Genomic DNA, 19,382 nt, shown 5'->3' with positions numbered 1-19,382 from the left:
TTTTGTTGACATGCAATATAATCAATTCCTGTTGCTTTTCTGGATGGCTGGGCCCAGTAATTTATACCAGCTTCTGATCCCCTTAAGCAACTTGGTCCTACTTATGTGAACACACTATATCATCTCTACAGAATACACTGTGGTATTTATAGTCCCACAGACTTAGGCTGTGGAAGTACTCTTATTTCATTTTGTTCTTAACAATGTAATCCGGGCATTTTATTCTTAAACAGCTTCAATACCTTGCTGACTTTGAGCTTGTGGCTCACTAAGACCTTCAGGTCTTTCTCACAAGGACAATTGTAAAGCTACTATTCCGGGGACCCTGGTATTTGTTAGGTTTATTCAATATTTATTCAATTATTTTAAAAACTATTATTTTGTTTCTGATCAATAAGGTAATGTATGCTTGCTGTAGAAAAACTGGACAGTTCAGAAAAGCATAAAGATGCAAATAAAAATAGTTCACCCCCATCGCTTTGCATACATCTTTTAACATTTGCAAATATGCTACATATATTGTTTAGTAGTCAATTTTTTTCATGTAGCAATATATCATGCCATTAAATATTCTGCAAAGAATGATGCTTTTGGTTAGAATTTTAAACCAAAATATTCCACTTCTAGAAATTTACCTAATAAATAGTTATCATTGCAAATATTTAGCTACAAAGAAGTTTATAGCAGTTTCATTTATAATAATAAATAACTGACATAATACAAAAATATCAAGAGTAAATACTTACCTAAACAATGAAGTACAATGCAGCCGCTAAATTGTTTTTAAAATAATATTTTATAACATAAAAAAGTTGTATCAATGAATTAAGAGAAAAAGAAAATTATAAAACTGTATATACAGCATTTACTTTTTAAATAATATGTAATTATATCTATTAAGAAAGATTAGATGGCACAAAAGCTAAAATGGTTACATCTGGTTGAAGGAATCATGAGTGATTTTTTAGTTTTGTTTCGAGACTCTACTTTTCTAAATGTCTAATAATGTATATGTATTATAATTGTAATAAAAATATTTAATTCATTAAATAAATGATATTTCACCACTTAAAGGTACCATAATTTATTTAATTAATTTCCTCAAGCTTGGACATATAGGAAGTTTGTAATAAATAATGCCACATCATGAACACCACATTCATCTCTGGAGGTAAAGAAGTAAAGACATTGGGGGAAAGATGAATAAAGGGTATATCTCTATCAATAATGATTTATATTTTCTCTGGATGTTGGTGTATTAGTTCATTCTCATGCCTCTAATAAAGACAAACCCAAGATTGGGTAATTTACAAAGGAAAGAGGTTAAATTGACTCATAGTTCAGCATGGCTGGGGAGGCCTCAGGAAACTTACAATCATGGCAGAAGGGGAAGCCAACATGTCCTTCTTCACATGGTGTCAGAAAGAAGAATGAGAGCCTGCACAAAGGGAGAAGCCCCTTATAAAACCATCAGATCTTGTGAGAACTCACTTACTATCATAAGAACAGTATGGGGGAAACCACCCCATGTTTCAATTATCTCCACCTAGTCCTGCCCTTGACACATGGGGAGTATTACAATTCAAGATGAGATTTTGAGTGGGGACACAGCCAAACTATATCAGTTGGGTACATGGATGTTCACTGCATTAATCTTCGTGCTTTTTGTATGTATTAAATAGCTCGTAATAAATTTTAAAAACAATACTATAGTGAGCCATTTATATAGATAGATAGATAGATAGATAGATAGATAGATAGATAGATAGATTAAACATACATTTATTTCTTTAAAATAATTTGCTAAAAGTAGAACTACTGAGTAGAAATGGAAAAAAATATTTAAAGCTTTTGAAGTATATGCCAAATTGCCCTCTAGGAAGCCAGAAACAATTTATAGCCCACTGGCAGAATACCTGTTTGTTTTTTATCTCATCTTTGCAAAAAAATGTCCATTATTATGTCTTAGTCTTTGCAAAATTGGGGGATAAAAATTACCCCTATTGCATTAAGCTGAATTTCTTTGATTAGTAGTGAGGAAGACATTTTTGTCTTTATTGGTCATTTATCTTTCTTTTTTATATATTTTTTATATTTTTCCTGCCACTTCTTTTGCCCATTTTTCTGTTGATTGGGTATTATTAATTATTAATCTTTATAATATTAATAATATCATTCACAGCTGGTAATCTGCTTTGTATTTTTGGTATAAGGTATTTTGATGTATGAAAGTTTTACAGTTTATATAATGCAATATAGGGAAATTTTCTTTCATGATTTTTTTCTTTATCTGAAAGTTTAGAAAGGCCATATCTTTGATAATACCACATACACACTCACCTACAGATTTTTTCTAACTTATTGTTGGTTTTGTATTGTTTTATATTTAGCTCTCTAAGCTATCCATGTGTATGGTGTAAAAATCTAACTACATTTTTACTGAAGTAACTGGATCACAATATTTCAGGCCCCTCATTTTAAAAAAAATAAATAATTTTTATTTTTATGCATTTCCTGTTTTGAAATGCTCTTTTACCAATTACTAATACTAGAATCTATTTCTTGGCTTCTCTTTTCTTTTCTCCTTTTAATTAAAAAAAACCAACATCTCTCCAACCTGTAGCCCCCAGAAACCACTATATTTCTTGGCTTTTTATTCTGTCCATATGCCTGTCTCCTTCTGCACAGATCACCTTGCTATATTTTATTTATTCTACCTTTATATTTTTCTATGCCATAAAATTAACTTCCCTTCATAATTCTTTCTTTTCCTATTCTCCTTGGTTTGGTTAACTATTTCAGATGAAATTTCAAATCATTTTGTTATGTTCCAAAAATATTCTACTGGGCTTTTCTTGGAGTGGCATTTAATCTATACATGAATTGGGAAGAATGGAAGCTCACGTAATATTGATCCTTCCAGTGTCAAAATATGGAATGACTCTCCATTTATTCAAGTTGTACTAATTGGTCTTAAGTTTTATAATTTTCTTCATATAGGTCCTAAACATTTATGCTAAAATTTACTTCTAGATATAAATGTGACTTTAATATATTACAAAGATGGAATTTTCAGTAAGCATTAGGAAAATACCGAAATATTTATGGGGGAAAGCCATCTCATACCATTCAAAAAGGCAGAACTCAAATGGATTAAGCATTTAATTTAACTTAATTTTATTTTATTTTTGAGATGGAGTCTCGCTCTGTCGCCCAGGCTGGAGTACAGTCGTGTGAGCTTGGCTCACTGCAAGCTCTGCCTCCCGGGTTCACACCATTCTCCTGCCTCAGCCTCCCGGGTAGCTGGGACTACAGGCGCCTGCCACCACACCTGGCTAATTTTTTGTATTTTTAGTAGAGACGGGGCTTCACCGTGTTAGCCAGGATGGTCTCCATCTCCTGACCTCGTGATCCACCCATCTCGGCCTCCCAAAGTGCTGGGATTACAGGCGTGAGCCACCGCACCCGGCCTAAATTTTTTTTTAAAGAGGAAAGAATACTGGAAGTAACCATTTAAACACGTATTCTACTCTGATTGTAGTGAAGCCTTTCTGTAGCATGATTCTAAAACTAGTTGCCACAAAGAAAAAGAGAAAAAGATGGAATAAATTTTAAAACTAAAATTTTTAAAGATTCCCTAGAGAAAAACATGCTATATATGATTAAAGGTAAATAACTAACTGGAAAAAGTATGTTTAGTATAGAAAGTATTTCTCCAAATCAGCAAGAGAAAGATGTAAAAGGAGGAGGAATGGACAAGAAGATGTGATCAATGGAAAAGAAAAAAAACAGCAAGTAGGCATTTGAAAGATGACAGTTCTATTCCTAATGAAATAGTAGGCCGGGCCCGGTGGCTCATGCCTGTAATTCCAGCACTTTGGGAGGCCAAAGAGCACAGATTACCTGAGGTCAGGAGTTTGAGACCAGCCTGGCCAATACAGTGAAAGCACGTCTCTTACTAAAAAAAAAAAAAAAAAAAAAGCCAGGCATGGTAGCGGGTGCCTGTAATCCCAGCTACTTGGGAGTCTGAGGCAGGAGAATCACTTGAACCCGAGAGGCAGAGGTTGCAGTGAGCCGAGACTGCACCACTGCACTCCAGCCTGGGAGACAGAGCGAGACTCCTGCCCGTAATCCCAGCTACTTGGGAGGCTGAGGCAGGAGAATCACTTGAATCCAAGAGGCAGAGGTTGCAGTGAGCCGAGATTGCACCACTGCCCTCCAGCCTGGGACACAGAGCGAGACTCCGTTTCAAGAAAAAAAAAAAAAGAAAGAAATACTAATTGAAACCACAATGAACTATCACTTTTCTTCCATTATTTCATTGTGAAAGATCTTTTTAAACGTGATAATAATCAGGATTAGGTAATATTATAGAAAAACAAGCACTCACACAATGCTGAGAGATTGTGAATTGACACTGTCTTTTTGAAGGGCAAATAGCCAGATTTAACAAAGTAAAAATATGCCTGCAATTCGACCTACCAATTTTATTTTCAAGAATTATAACTATAAATTGTTCCAAAAGATATAGACAGATGTTTATTGCAGCACTGTTTGTATCACTGCAGCATTGCTTATAATTTTGAAGAATGAGAACAAAAAAAATTGCCTATGTCAAGAGAGGACCCAATGTAGCTGAATTTTGAGCACAGAAGTGACAAATTGGAATTAGATATTAAACCACTTTTGCATTTTTAAAATAATTCCTACTCTGATGATTACAATTCCTTTACATTACTATATTAATTTGCTAGTACTATATTTAGAAAATGTTTGCATTTACACTAAAATTGTGCTTGTTAAATTTTTAACTCATTTCAGTATAAAATCATGATGATTTATTTATCTTCATTTATTTTCTGAATTTCACTTTGTTAGTTTTTATCCCTTTTCAACCATTTTAAGATTATGTGTGTGTGTGTTTGTTTGTTTGTTTTTGGAGGGAGAACAGCCTTGTGCTCAGTCAAAAAAAAAATTGTATTGCCTAACCTCTCTTACAGCTAAGTGACTAAGTTCAAGGCCATAAGTTACAATGGAAAGTTTGTGGGTACTTCAGGAAAGGCTTTTTAATGGGAACTAAAGCAGGTGGGAGGTATACCCATTTCTCCCTTTTCCTTCTTTCTTCCTCCTTCCTAGAATGTAAATGTTATGGTTGAAGCTCCAGTAGTTATTTTGGATGATGAAGTAATTTTGAGAATGAAAAGAAAGATGGTGGAGAAGAAAGAGAGATGAAGACTGAATCTTTGGTGACTATGAAGATATCTGTCTTCGCACTTCTTTTTAAGTGTGAAATGCTTTTGAATTTTTATTTGGTTTGCCAAAATGTTAGCTATACCTCATAGTCTTATATCATTTGAAAATTTGACAGGCATGCTTTCTTTGGCCCAACTTAATTTTTATTCCTCCAGGTTAATCCATTAATTAAAAACCTTTGGATATAATGATTCACTAACTATAAATTTCACTGACCATCCTCTTATGTAGTCAATATTTTATGTATTTTCCACCAAGGTAGAAACACTCTATCAACTACCTTACTAAAGTAAAGAGAGCCTAGATTTTTAAAATTCTCCTTAAATCTACCGGTGTTATAATATCTGGTCTTCATCCCAGGTTCTTGACAGGGAGCTTCGAAACCCTTGGAATTTCCTGAATGACAGGAATAGCTCTGTTACGCTAATGAGGTGACTCATGGTGAGACCCTAGATAGCTTCCGGATGGTGGCTGGTCACATGATTAGAGAATTGCGATTTTTGACTTGCCTGACCTCCAGGGAAGGGAGGGGGACTGGAGATTGAGTTCAGTCACATGGCCCATGATTTAATTAATCATGCCTATCTAATGAAACCCCAATAAAAACCAAAGCCCAGTGGAGGCTCCTGGTCAGTAAACACATTGATATACCAGGTGAGTGATAGGCCTACTCCATGGAGAGGGCATGGAAGCTCTGTGGTCCCTCCCAGACTTTGCCCTGGGTGTATCTTTTATAATAAAACTAACCATAGGTATAGTGCTTTCCTGAGTTTTGTGAGTTGTTCTATTGATCCCCGAATGGCATCATGGTGACCTCCTGGATTAGTAGCCAGTTTATCAGAAGCATGGGTGGCCCAGGAGACACCATTTAGAACTGGCATCTGAAGTGAGAATAATCTTGTGAAGGATTGAACCCTTTACTTGTGAGTCTGACACTAACTCCAGGTGGTTAACAACAGAATTGTATTGCAGTACACCCATTTGGTGTCTGAGTACTTCTCAAATTAATAATCTATGCAAAATAAAAGAAAAAACAACTAGGTTGTTTGTCTTGCTTAATTCTTGTAAACCCATCTTAGCTCCTACAATTATACTTTCTTTTCTAAATTAAGTCACCTCTGTAATGATGCGCTATGTAATTTTGCCATGAATCTTTATCAATCCCACCATGCCATAGCTTGCAAAACTCTCTATCATTTTACAAAGATTACCAGCTGATATGGAGATTTTATGTAAAAATCTTCAATTTGTAAGAAACATGAAATAATTTAATGTGATCGATTCACCCTTTTCCCAATTATTAGTTTTAGTTCCCTAGCTATAATGTTTGCTCTAGTTTTAAGCACGATTGCTGAAGAATAGTTCTGTATTTAAAAATACATTTTTTTTAGTAATTTGCATAAAGTGGTGATTCTCAACCAGGTGGTTTTTGTCCCCCACCTCTTAAAAGACATTTGGCAATGTTCGGAGATGTTTTTGTTTATTGTAACTGGGGAGTGGGGTGCTTCTGGCCTGTAGTGGATAGACGCCAATGATGTTGCTAATCCTATAATGCATAGGAAAGCCACCCACAACAAAGAATTATCTGGCCCAAATGTCACTAGGACCATGCCTGAGAAACCCTGCACTACGGTAACCTCAGGAGTAGAAGAGAAAGCGAGAACTTCATCCAGGTCTTCATGACTCCAGCTGATCTCAAAATGACCTCACTTTCTGTCTTTAAAGGCTCTCAACTTTTCATTTAAAGCAATTTTTACTTATCATCAGGATTTCCCTTTTAAGATCCACTTGCCTGTTAATAATCCCTCTTTTAGAAACTTTGGCCAAGGCATAGTATTTATTGTTTCTTTCACTTTTTAACATTTATTTTCCTAAAGTCTAAGATACCAAGGCTCTTCATGATTATGGTCCCAGCATGTTGTCATCTTTTCCCCCAGATTTCCAACACTTTCACATCACCCACACTTTTTCAGTGGTGAGAATGGAGTCATAAGGTAGTTACATCAATGATACTGAATTATCCAAAAGAATAAAATAATGCTCAACATGCTTCATAGATAATGCAAAAAGTGTCAACACTGCTACATACACAAAGCATCATCGCTTTTTATTATGCTTTTGTGTTTTTCTCTTAAGCAAGTGAAGTTTCAGATACCTAGACTCTCCTAATAAATGTTAGCCTTACTTCATGTAAGAAGACAGCATGATTTTAAAAACAGCAGGTATGATTTATATGGACAGTAGAGTCTTTTGTTCTGTCATGCATCTATTTAAGAAGGACCTAGTATAACTTAGAAAGGTACATTCCACTAAAGAAAGAGTAAAGTCACATCATGTTGGTCCTTTTGCTCGGCACTTCTCTCTTCTGCCACCATGGGAAGAAGGACATGTTTGCTTCCCCTTCTGTCATGATTGTAAGTTTCCTGAGGCTTCCCCAGCCATGCCTAACCTAACTGTGAGTCAATTAAACCTCTTTCCTTTATAAATTACCCAGTCCTGGGGATGTTTTTATAAGCAGCGTGAGAACGGACTAATACTCTGATCCTGTCAGCTGACCATGGCCATCAGATCAAGCCACTTACGAGCAGCATGCTGAAGAAAGAGGACCACAAGGTCAGTGCCAAGCGCTAAGCACAAGGAGAAATGCTGGTGCCACATGGAAGCCAGTGGCATTGCATTCGCAAGCACAGGTGAACTCTCTTGAGAGTGCAAAGTTGGAAATTAATGAAGAGTCCCTGGAATTCCTCCAGTCACACTGGAGGAGGATGAGCTGGAAAAACAGTGAGACTCAGGGAAACTGGTTGTCAGCATTAAGCATATCTAAATCAGCCTGGCCCCCTTCCATCTGAGCTTCTATACACATGACTCTACTTAATTCAATTTCAATTCAGTCACTTCGCGTCTACAACAAGTCAAAGGAAGTATTTCTTTTCTAGACATCTAAAGGACCACGATTATTTCAAAGTTATTTCAAGGTATTACACAGCCTTAATAATCAATTGAATGGCTGATTTTTTTTTTCTTTATCCAAGACCTAAAATTTTCTCATTAGATTTCAAGTTAGTAAGTCGAATCTCCATTGACATCCAGGAATTGATTGCAGGGCCCCCAACTAAAGCATACTGTCTAAAGACGTGAGCTCGAAGTCAAACTTAAACATGCAGACAAGAAATTGTATGCACTGATTGCTGGTAGCTGGAAGTCATCTCTCTCCTCTGAATTTCCTTAGTCACTGTCCTCTTAGTCCTATCTAGATGGTATTAGAATCATTTACATATAGTTTTTACCTCCTCTCCCAGCCTTACTAAGGAAGCACACTGACGGCAGGTTTGAGAACTAAATATCCTTATATCCTCTTTTAGGTGAGGAGTCCAAAGTGTTTACAGTCACGTGAGATAGCATATTTTGATTTACTCGCTGTATGTCAGTGTTGGCTCTATGTACATGAGATCAACACATCTCTCTAACACAATCAGAAAAAAAAATAGATCAGTTCATATGAACCAAATATCCAAATCAAATGATTACTTTCTTCCTACTTTTCAACCCCTTGCATTGCCACCAATGCCTTTTATTTATTTATTTGTTTATTTTTATTTTTTTGAGACAGAGTCTCACTCTGTCACCCAGGCTGGAGTGCAATGGCATGATCTCGGCTCACTGCAATCTGCACCTCCTGTGTTCAAGTGATTCTCCTGCCTCAGCCTCCTGAGCAGCTGAGATTACAGGCGCATGCCACCACGCCCGGCTAATTTTTGTATTTTTAGTAAAGATGTGGTTTCACCATGTTGGTCAGGCTGGTCTCGAACTCCTGACCTCATGATCCGCCTGCCTCGGCCTCCCAAAGTGCTGGGATTACAGGCGTGAACAGTGCCTGGCCACCAATGCCTTTTCTTAAATTAAATACAAAAATGCACTTTGCCTTCCTCCTCAGAGACTTTGTCAGTGAGACTAAATCAATGGAGAGCTTCTACTGATAGCTATCATTATTGTATTTCTTTTTCTACAAGGTGAAAGATCACTGCAGGGTGGTACCTTTATTGGAATTTCTCACAATAAATCCTTATTTAACTTTATTCGTATATCAGCCACTACAGTTAGACCTACTTCTTTAAGGTCTCCCAAGCTTTTTTCAACCTGGACAGTTTTAGTCATCATGATTTCACAGCTTGGGGGAGAGCTTCCCTCTCCCCCATCCCTTATGTAAACTCTGGCTATTCTTCAAGGCCTAGTTCAAGCTCCACCCACAAGAAGCCCCTTTCACAGGACTCCAGGCTACACCAAGCTGTCCCTTCCCTGAACTCTGGCTCACACAGTGTATCTCTTAATAGCGCTCTAACTGTTTCATGTTACGTTAGTGTTGTCTTCCCAAGTGGATCATAAACTGTCTGGTATCTATCCCCTACAAATCCGAGCACAATGTTGGACTTCTTTTTGTGCCCAATAAATACTTGTCGATTGACTGGCTGGTTTAGAAAACACAGTACACAGTTAGTGTGTGGGGCGGAGCGGGGGAATGAAAAGCAATAGGCAGGCTTCAGCTCTGGCCAAATTTAGATTACATTTAAATCTATGTGTTTCTTTAAAAAAATGAATGTTCAAGTCACTGACTCTGGACCTAGTAGGTTAGTCCACTGAGCCTTAGATTTCAGGGTGTTATTGTGGATTTGGCTTTCCTGGGATGGAACTCCAAGAAGATAGATTATCGTGTGCTCCTAATGCACTACACAGCCTATTGACTTTATATGTCATCAATGTATATTGTATGTCTACACTATTACCAGGAGAAGCAGGAGTGCATGTAGTTATGCCTCTGTCTCAGCCCGTCATCCCATGCTGTGCCCTATGGGAAGCCACTGATTCTTACACTTGGAGCTGGGACAATGCAACTTAATCAGACTGACAGGAAACAGGCAGCAATTACAGTGTGCTGCTACATCTGCTGGGTTCCACTTCACTGAAGGAAGAGTTATCTCAATTTTAATGTACATCCCTTTTTCATGTTTCATTTAACCTCTGCCGTATTATTAAACACATCAAAATATAATGACACTCGTTAAAGAAGAAAAAGAGGACAGTTGGGATATTTTGGACTGTATCTCCTATATTTGTAACTTAATTGTATCATTTTTGCTTCTCTTCAACATCTCTCCCTGGTGAATAACTAATTCAGAATATAGGTATTTAAATAGTGAGTTGGGAACTGGCTGTTTAAACACCTACATCAACACTGAGTGCAGCTACAATGCAACGTCCCTCAATCATTTTTCTGTTTTCACCACTAGTGTTTCTCTTTTCAAAAACATTCTTTTACAATGTGTCAAAATAGCTAGTTTACCCATTACTGCAGTGATATAAACTGCTTTAAAAGCAGCTCAATGCAATTCTTCAGGAATGTGTTTGTAATATGACTCAGGAAACCTTTGGAACTTAAATGAGCAGGTGTCTCACCCACTCTGGCCCACCCTAGAACAGCCAGAGCTCCATCAGCAGGTGGATCCTGCTGACCCGAGTTCTAGGATCTATTAAACCATTCATTTCTGCAAGACAAATGTGATGACACACCAGGCTAAGCCTCTCCTCTGAGGTTTGGTTTTGTGTGTGTGTAATTTTTTTTTCTTTCCACTGTGATTCTCTGATCTCTTATCTCTCTTTGAGCTCCAGTTTTACCATTGAATCTGAAGTATATAGTAAACCTTTCTAAAAATCAAATGTTCATCAGATTAATTGCGGCATCCAAATCCAGACTGCCCAAGTTTCCAAAGATATAATAGAAATGTGATCCTAAACTTCCACTTGAACTCTTAAGATGGTGTTTGGCCAAGCAGAATTTGCAAGACATTTACAGGAATTTGTGTGTATTAGGGAAAATGGAGGGAAAGGTTAATAACCAAAGATACGCTTCTATATAAAGAGTTTTTTTAGGCCAAAAAGCTCCAATGTCCAAGCTTTTAAAATAATTATTAGAATTTTCATTAAGAAATAATTTAATCAAAATATGACAGGCATGTCCATCATCAGTGCCAAATACGGGTTGCTATGAACTAGGGTGACAAAAAGTGGTCTAAGAAAGAGTGAGTGTTTTCAAGTAGCTAACAATCTATAGTGAAATCAAAACAAATGCAGAAAAAGATAAGCTAAAGCCCAAACAGGTTCCTATCAGTGTGTGGAATTTACTACAGGGCAACACTACAATGACTTATGTTTATAGTTAGGCGAACAAGAAAGAGCTGAAGCCCCTGAGATCTCCTTTAGGATAAAAGAGGCCTGATATTCAGCGAGCAAGCACTTACCCTACAGAGGCCTCCCAGATGTCTATCTCCAGCTTCCATTGCGTGTTCATTCCCCTGCCATAGGGTTGTTAATAGGTTAAATGTTATTCTGGGTAAAAGACTCTAAGGAAAGCAACACTGCTTAACTCCTACTTTACTTATGTGCTCACTACAGGATCATGATCATCAACCTTGAATAGACAGAATAAATAGCATTAAGTAAGCTTGGAGCAATGATTGCACCTAAACATGTTGACTGCATTCAAATCTCCAGGCTCAAACAAATTACATCTCTGGATGCTTAAAGTGCTTTAGAGGTATGATCACAAAACCAATGTCAACAGTCTTTGAAAAATAATGGAGAAGGGGAGAGATACATACCAGAACAATATAAGAAAACATTTTCTTTCCAAAAAATAAAAGTTGGGGGAGGACGGGGGTAGGAAAAAATGCAAATTTCAGAAACTAGGGACTACTGAGTTTAATCCTTATCTTCATTAACATTTTCTAATGAATTCTTAACAGTTGACGTGAATAAACTTTGACAAGAAGAACTGATCACTGGGAGCTATATATTTCACTAAAAACAAGTAAATCCAAAAATCCATTTTTAAAATAAGACTAATCAATTAATGAAAGATATAACAATATTGTATCTGGATTCCATTATGGCATTAACATGTCTTTAATGATATATTTATGGACTTGATAAGTAAGGTGGAAAAATAGGAACTAAAATGATAAATTCATCTATTGAGGCAACAGGGATCTAACCTTGGCCATTTTTTTGTCAACTATGTAAGAAAAAAATAAGCCCAGGTTTCATTTAAGTTAACCCTCATAGAAATTAGAGCATTTAATAAACAAATTCAGGGAAATGATACTGATTTTAAAATTAAAATAGTAAAGAGAAAAACTAATTCCACCAGCAAACAACAACAACAAAAAAAAAACCATGATTTTGAAAATTTTAGATTGGAAACTAGCAAGAGAGTTATTGGGGATATTTATAGAAACCAGAATGAAAACCCTAACTACTTTTGTTTGTTTGCATACCTAGTCATCTCAAGTTTATTGCATTTCAGGAGAAAGTCCTTTTACCATATAAGAAAGGCATAACTTTTAAGTTTATTATCTTCCAAGTTTATCATCTTCTGTTCGTCTTCAACCCAATGATCACCTATTCCTTCGAGAATTTTTCAGAGGTGAGCAACTATTCACAGTTCTTTGTTCTTAAGCTGTTATTTCAGACCATTAGCTTCCTCTGGGGCCTCCGGACTGTCTTCTAGTCTTCCAATCTGTCTTCTACATTGCTTTCTGGCAAATAAAACTCCATTTTAAAAGGTGATGCCTGTCAAAATTCTACTCAAAATTTCTCAGAGGGTCTTCACGGCATTCTGAAGACCACCAGAAAGAGAAATGGCCAAAATTTTCCTTTTGGCTTTATCTACAACTTCCCAACATAGATGTTATAATTCTGTCCATGTAAACTATTCTTCAAAAGTGAATTGCACTTCTGTAGCCTTTATCTTTCCTTTTCAGGAATGATCGCTGTCTGTGCTTCTTGGCTACTCAGAGCCAACCTATCCTTCGGTTATTAGCAAGGGGGGCTTCTACCTTCTACAAACCTGTGCTCCTCAGTTTGGGCACTCAAATGGCACTTTGCAAATGTGTCTCACTCTTCCGGACCAAACTGTGTCTTCTGTAACCTCTGTGCTCTAAGTTTGCATGTATGGCTGACAGATAAGGGGCACTTATGAACACATTGATGGAAACTTTTCAAAAGGGCCAGGTCCGGTGGCTCACACCTATAATCCCAGCATTTTGGGAGGCCGAGGCAGGCAGACCACCGGAGGACAGGAGTTTGATACTGGCCTGGCCAACATGGCAAAACCCTGTCTCTACTAAAAATACAAAAATTGGCCGGGCGCGTTGGCGCGTACCTGTAATCCCAGCTACTCAGGAGGCTGAGGCAGGAGAATTGCTTGAACCCAGGAGGCAGAGGTTGCAGTGAGCCAAGATCATGCCACTGAAAAAAAAATTTGTAAAAAGGAGAAGCAGGAAGAAAGAAAAATAGGAATGGAAAGAAGAAGGAGGAGGGTCTGATGGAGAGAGGAAATAAAGACGAAAAATTAAAGGAGAAGGAAAAAGAAGTGAAAGGAGTCTTCCCTTAGCCTTCCTCTGCTGTTTGAATTTTGTGTTTTCCATTTAATGTTTACCTTAAATTGTCAAATATTCCATCCTTTTTGCATATCATGTACCATTTGCTTTATTTCTTTATTCTTATCTAAAAGATAGTCTCACATATTTATCCTCCTCACACATCCTTAAGAACCTATGAAGTCACATTAGATTTACTGCTGCTTAACAAATGGGAATTTAGGTTTGTACAGTATTTTCTCTTCTTCTAGTTACTTTACATACATCTACCCATGTTTTTCAGAAAAAAACACTCCACAGAAGATGACTTACCTCCCTCATCAATGCTGGGCAGAAATTGGGAATTAGAACCAATGATTTTCTGCAACAATATTCTTCCTCTCTGCTTTGTACTCACTTTTCTTCCTCACTCTCTCTACCTCCCGAAGAGTTCTGTCATATCTTTTACATTTCAGTTTTCTTTTTAAATAAATAATAATTTTTTTCCTTCCGTGACATTTTTCTGACCTTGAAATAAAAGCCTTTAAAAAAAAAAAGTCCTGGAACAGTTTATTTCCTTACATTTAACTTTCCCACCACCTACTCTTGCTCATGTTTCTAATTTTAATCTGCTTCTTACACATTTTGTCTTTTTCTTCAAAATCCCAAAATATGTAATTAACAAGCAGAATGTTCAGTCAATGGCCTGTACGTTTTCTGTTCTCAATACGACACTTCCAGGTTCTCAGCACCATCTTTTCCATCCTTCCTTCCTGGGCCTCCGTGCTTGCCCTTGGCTCTGTGGCCCCCACTCTGCTGTCGTGAGTTGTCCCCTCCTCCTGTGCAGTCTCCTGTGACCCTTCAGTAACCACAATCCACATGCATGCACGAAGGACCTCTATTCCTGTCTGTGTTCAACTGGGGCAGGAAAATCAATCCAGTAGGCCACAACTGGCATGTCTTTAAGTGAAAAATACAGAAAATAATATAAATGAATAGAAATTAAAAAGAAAATATCAGCGTGCCTCACGAAAGATAAATATTGTTCTGTGAAACTTCTGTTTTAGTCATCTGTGTGTGAATTATGGGAGGAGCATTAGCTGGTCACTGTGTAGATGTATATTTCTTAGTGTAAGTCACAGGCAAAAATGTTTGAAAAACATCATCCAACCCTACACTCTTCTTTGACTTATGGCTTTATGTTGTTGTTACTCTTTTTCCTCTTCTTTTTCTTCCTCCTTCCCCTCCTCCTCCTCTTTCTCCTCTTCTTCTTTGTAAATTCCAAATCTCCTATTTTTGTGAAGTGTAGCCCCTGAGTTTGCCTTCAGTACTCCTTCACTCTCTCCCAATTGCGTATTCCATGTGGGTGTTAAAGTCTCAATGGATTGTAGCAGCAGCACAGAATTTGGCATCTAGTAGATGCTCAATAAGTGTCTGTAGCCTGAATGAAGCAAATGAATGAATGAGTGGAGGTAGAGGTGGATTTACACCAAAGCTAATGAAACAGAAACTTCAAAGTATCTCATTTGCAGCTGTCCCTTCTAAGGCCCTATAACTGATATTATATTTATAATTTTGTATTATTTTTCTCAAACAGCATTCCTCCAATTTATGGAAGCTTTAAATCCCATAAAAACTGGTTCTGCAGCCAGGTGGATGAATGGAATGCCTACAATAAAACAATATTGCAAAGTTCAATCTACACAATATGTTTTATCCAAAGGTATTTCAGTCAGCTGGACAAAATGCAGCAGTAACATCATTGGCAGGAGGGAGCACTCTGTACCATTCGGCATCTTTTATCCCCATTTGCAAGTTTCCCCTCTCTTTTGCTTTTCACATCCAGTGCTCTGCTTGGTGAAAATCCTGCAGCTCTTAGCAGAAGGCTGGCTCAGAGATTTCCACCCTGCCTCAGTGGCTGCCATCACTCCATGCTCCACTCCCTTTGCCCATAATGACCTCATTCAGGACACCTGAATGAGGAGAGCAGTGAAGTCCGGTGGATGCAGCATCAGTGGCCCTGGGCTCTCACCTCTGTTCTGTCAGGGCACACTCAGCTGGAGAAAATTCTCCCCTGATTGCCCCACCAAAGGAAGAAGCTGAGCCTATGTATATAATGAGGGTCACCACAAAGAAAGGACGCTGCTTCCAGTGAGGCTGTGGCTGGTCCCTCCTCCCTCTTGGACAGACACCACACACATGTTGTGTGTAGCTCAGAATTTGAATGGGGACGAATGTGAGCCAGAGGAAAACGTGGAGACTGTCCAATCTATCTCCTGGTTTACAGGTGAGAAGACCGAGGCCCTGGAAAATTAAGAAACTTGCTTGGGATCTCACAACATGTTTGGGAGAGTGAGACTGGACTAGAGCACATATCTCCTTGGCTGACCCACTGTTCTTTCTACTGTGTGAGTGGTTCTCAAAGTGGTCCCTTGACCAGAAGCATCAACATTACCTAGGAAATTGTTAGGTATGCAAATTCTCCATTTTCACCCCAGACTCCTGCATCGGGGGTGCAGACCAGACTCTGGATTTTAACAAGTTTTCCCCATCATTTAATGCTCTCTTGAGTTTAAGCACCACATCACTATACAATGTTTCTACTCATTAAAAGGAGCCATTTACCTAATGCTATGGTTTAAATGTGTCTCCCAAATTTCAAGTGTTAGAAACTTAATCCCTAAATTCATACATTGATTGGAGGTGAGGCCTTTGAAGGATAATTAGGATTAGATAAGGTATAAAGGTGGGGCCTCCAAGATGGGTCTGGTGGTTTTATAAGAAGAGGAAGAGAGACCTGAGCTGATACACATGCTCTTGTTCTCTTGCCATGTGATGCTTTCCACAGTGTTATGAAGCAGCAAGAAGGCCCTCCTCAGAAGTTGAGCAGGTGCCAGTGCCATGCTCTTAGACTTCCCAGCCTTCAGAACCATGGGCCAAAATAAACTTTTTTTCTTTTTTAAATTACCAAGCCTGCATTATTTTATTATAGCAACAGAAAATGGACTAAGACACCTAATAGCTAAACTCCTGATGTTGCAACACATCAGATAAAAGTCATGTTTTAAAGATTAAACTGCCCTTGAAATATCATTCTTATATGAAAATTTCCCCCCAAATCAACAGCTTCTACTCTTAGACATTCATTTCTTCAGTCAAGCCATTTTACCCTGAAGACTTCTGTTAAAAGGCAAATAAATAACATTGGTAAAACAATAAAGAGTAAAAAAAAATTATAATTTGAGAATCAATAAGAATAATAACTCTCCCTGAATTCTTATTCAAAGTCAGGCACTGTACTGTTTGATATACATTTATTATATCAGCAATAATCCTCAACTTCTTATAAATCGGTTTTTTACATTAGTCCAACGTTTTATAATGCCAATATCTAAAGGACTGATAAGTATCAAAGAAAAGAGACAGGGTTGGGAAGCATATCAGTTCCTGGGCAGGGGATGAAGAGCCCATAGAAAGTTCCCCAGGAGAGGGTCTGGGTCACCAGGAAGCAAGATGAGGGCCAAGGTATTCAGTGAAAGATATTCAAAGAGAGCCAGGGCACTTAAGCCAGAGTTGGAAGAGGGCTACTAAGCATAGTGGTGTATACTGTGCACTGCACAATTCCGGAGGACAGAACTCACAGAAAAGCAGTGATGCTGAGCCCAAATTCCATATACTTCAAACCTGGCTGCCAGTGGCTGGCTTTTCCCTGAAGATTGGGTCCTGAAGCTAGGATACCATGAGATATCAATGAGACTGCAGTTCTAGCGACAGCAGTCTCACTCAAGCTGAAGAATTGCGGGGGGTGGGGTGGGGGTGGCAGGGGGTGGAGATGGTATAAAGTTTGTTAATTTCCTAAACTCCTCACAGAGCAAGCCCGTGGCAGGTCTTCATTCCATTGACACATCTTGGGACAAGTTGAAGAAAGAAACCTAAAGCTCATTTTCCCAACCTTTCTGCCCTTGATCCCCACTACGTGGGCATCTCAAAGAAAAGTGCTGTAAAATGGTTGATTTTTTAAAATTATTTGTTTCACTATATAAGTAAATTTAAATCGAACTCATTTACAGAATGACTGATTGCTCCCAGCTGGGCACGGTATCTCACACCTGTAATCCCAGCACTTTGAGAGGTTGAGGTGGGCAGATCATGAGGTCAGGAGATCAAGACCAGCCTGGCCAACATGGTGAAACCCCGTCTCTACTAAAATACAAAAAAAATAGCCGGGCATGGTGGTGCGTGCCTGTAGTCCCAGCTACTCGGGAGGCTGAGGCAAGGGAATCACTTGAACCCAGGAGGCGAAAGTTGCAGTGAGCCGAGATCGCGTCACTGCACTCCAGCCTGGGCGACAGAGCAAGACTCCATCTCAAAAACAAAACAAAACAAAACAAAACAAAACAAAACAAAACAAAAATAGATGGATTGCTTCCCCAAAGTCTCTGAAAAACATGAGACCTCCCATGTAAACCAGAAATAATTTGGATTTCTAAGATTGAAGCTGAAAGTTGCCATGAACTAAAGCAGAACACCAACCACCCTTGGATATGGTCACGATTGCTTTGAGGCTTAAAAGCTATAAATTGATCATATTTTAGGTCTTGAGGTAACCCACAAGACACTGTAATTTCTTTATGTTGGCGTTGTCTTCCTCTAAGGTAGAAGCATTGAGGATTTCATTTGTTCAAACAGGTTCTGGATAGAGAGGACTCTAGGAAACAACTGAGCCCTGAGTCAGATTCTTGTGCTGGAGGTTAGAACAGGGAAGATGTAAGGAGTTCAAGATTCAATTGAAGAAAACAATGCACTGAAAGAGCTCAAAGGATGTGTGAGGAGACCAAGGGTGAAAATTCAGTTAAGGTTTAAAAGAACTTGAGAACAGATATCAAAGGAAGCTGTTAAATTAGAAAAAGAGGTAGTAACAAATGGTATGGGCTACCCCTCAAAGGCTAGCAACTATCACATCTCCACTATAACTTAGTTAATTTCTCGGTGTTACTTGTTTAGTTTATCATTACTACTGCTCACAGTAATCATAAATTTGAAAGTCACTTTCATCTCCAATTCTTTTGACTCCATGAATAAGAACAAGAGCTACCACTTACGCAGCATTCATGGTGTGGCAGACACTGTGTGACATCTTAATGAAGTTAGGCCTCATAATGACCTAGTGAGGTCGGTGCTTTTGAACTCCAGAGGTTGTATTTATAACCATAGCTCTGCACTGCCTAAACCCTGCTGCCTTGCGTAAGACAAGCAAACGGCAATGCTTGTCCTTGAATCCTGCAGGAGACTTCTTGCACTTTGCCAGTGAAAACCAAACCCACCTCGTTGACACCTACTGCCCAAGAGGAGATTCTAATGACATTGCTTTGTGTCTTAAAATGAAAAAATATCTACTTATAATTATTTATTAAAATTCATTCCATAGGCCGGGCGCAGTGGCTCACACCTGTAATCCCAGCACTTTGGGAGGCCGAGGAGGGCAGATCATCTGAGGTCAGGAGTTCAAGACCAGCCTGGCCAACATAGTGAAACTCTGTCTCTACTAAAAGTACAAAAATCAGCCAGGTGTGGTGGCCTGCATGTGGTGCACCTGTGATAGCAGCTACTCGGGAGGCTGTGGCAGGAGAATCGCTTGAACCCAGGAGGCGGAGGCTGCAATGAGCTGAGATCATGCCACTGCACTCCAGCCTGGTGACAGAGCAAGACTCCTCCATT

The 19,382-nt window shown here is 38.4% G+C and overlaps 1 long non-coding RNA gene across 1 annotated transcript in view, besides 1 other annotated feature; it reads right to left on the bottom strand.

Moving 5' to 3' along the window:
• LOC105372130 (uncharacterized) overlaps positions 1–19,382 on the bottom strand; it is a 177,123-nt gene that overhangs the window by 68,255 nt on the left and 89,486 nt on the right. The gene's annotated exons all lie outside the window — the stretch shown is intronic.
• Positions 10,613–10,907: a silencer, noted in NCBI's record as "tiled region #1296; HepG2 Repressive non-DNase unmatched - State 24:Quies". NCBI's record gives its function as "represses a minimal TATA promoter and a strong SV40 promoter by Sharpr-MPRA in HepG2 cells {active_cell/tissue: HepG2}" and the evidence as "EXISTENCE:reporter gene assay evidence [ECO:0000049][PMID:27701403]".

Source organism: Homo sapiens, chromosome 18 (assembly GCF_000001405.40).
Source record: "Homo sapiens chromosome 18, GRCh38.p14 Primary Assembly".
Taxonomy (NCBI): domain Eukaryota; kingdom Metazoa; phylum Chordata; class Mammalia; order Primates; family Hominidae; genus Homo; species Homo sapiens.
Note: the sequence above shows the minus strand (reverse complement) of the source record. Positions and strands in the feature narration are given on the sequence as shown.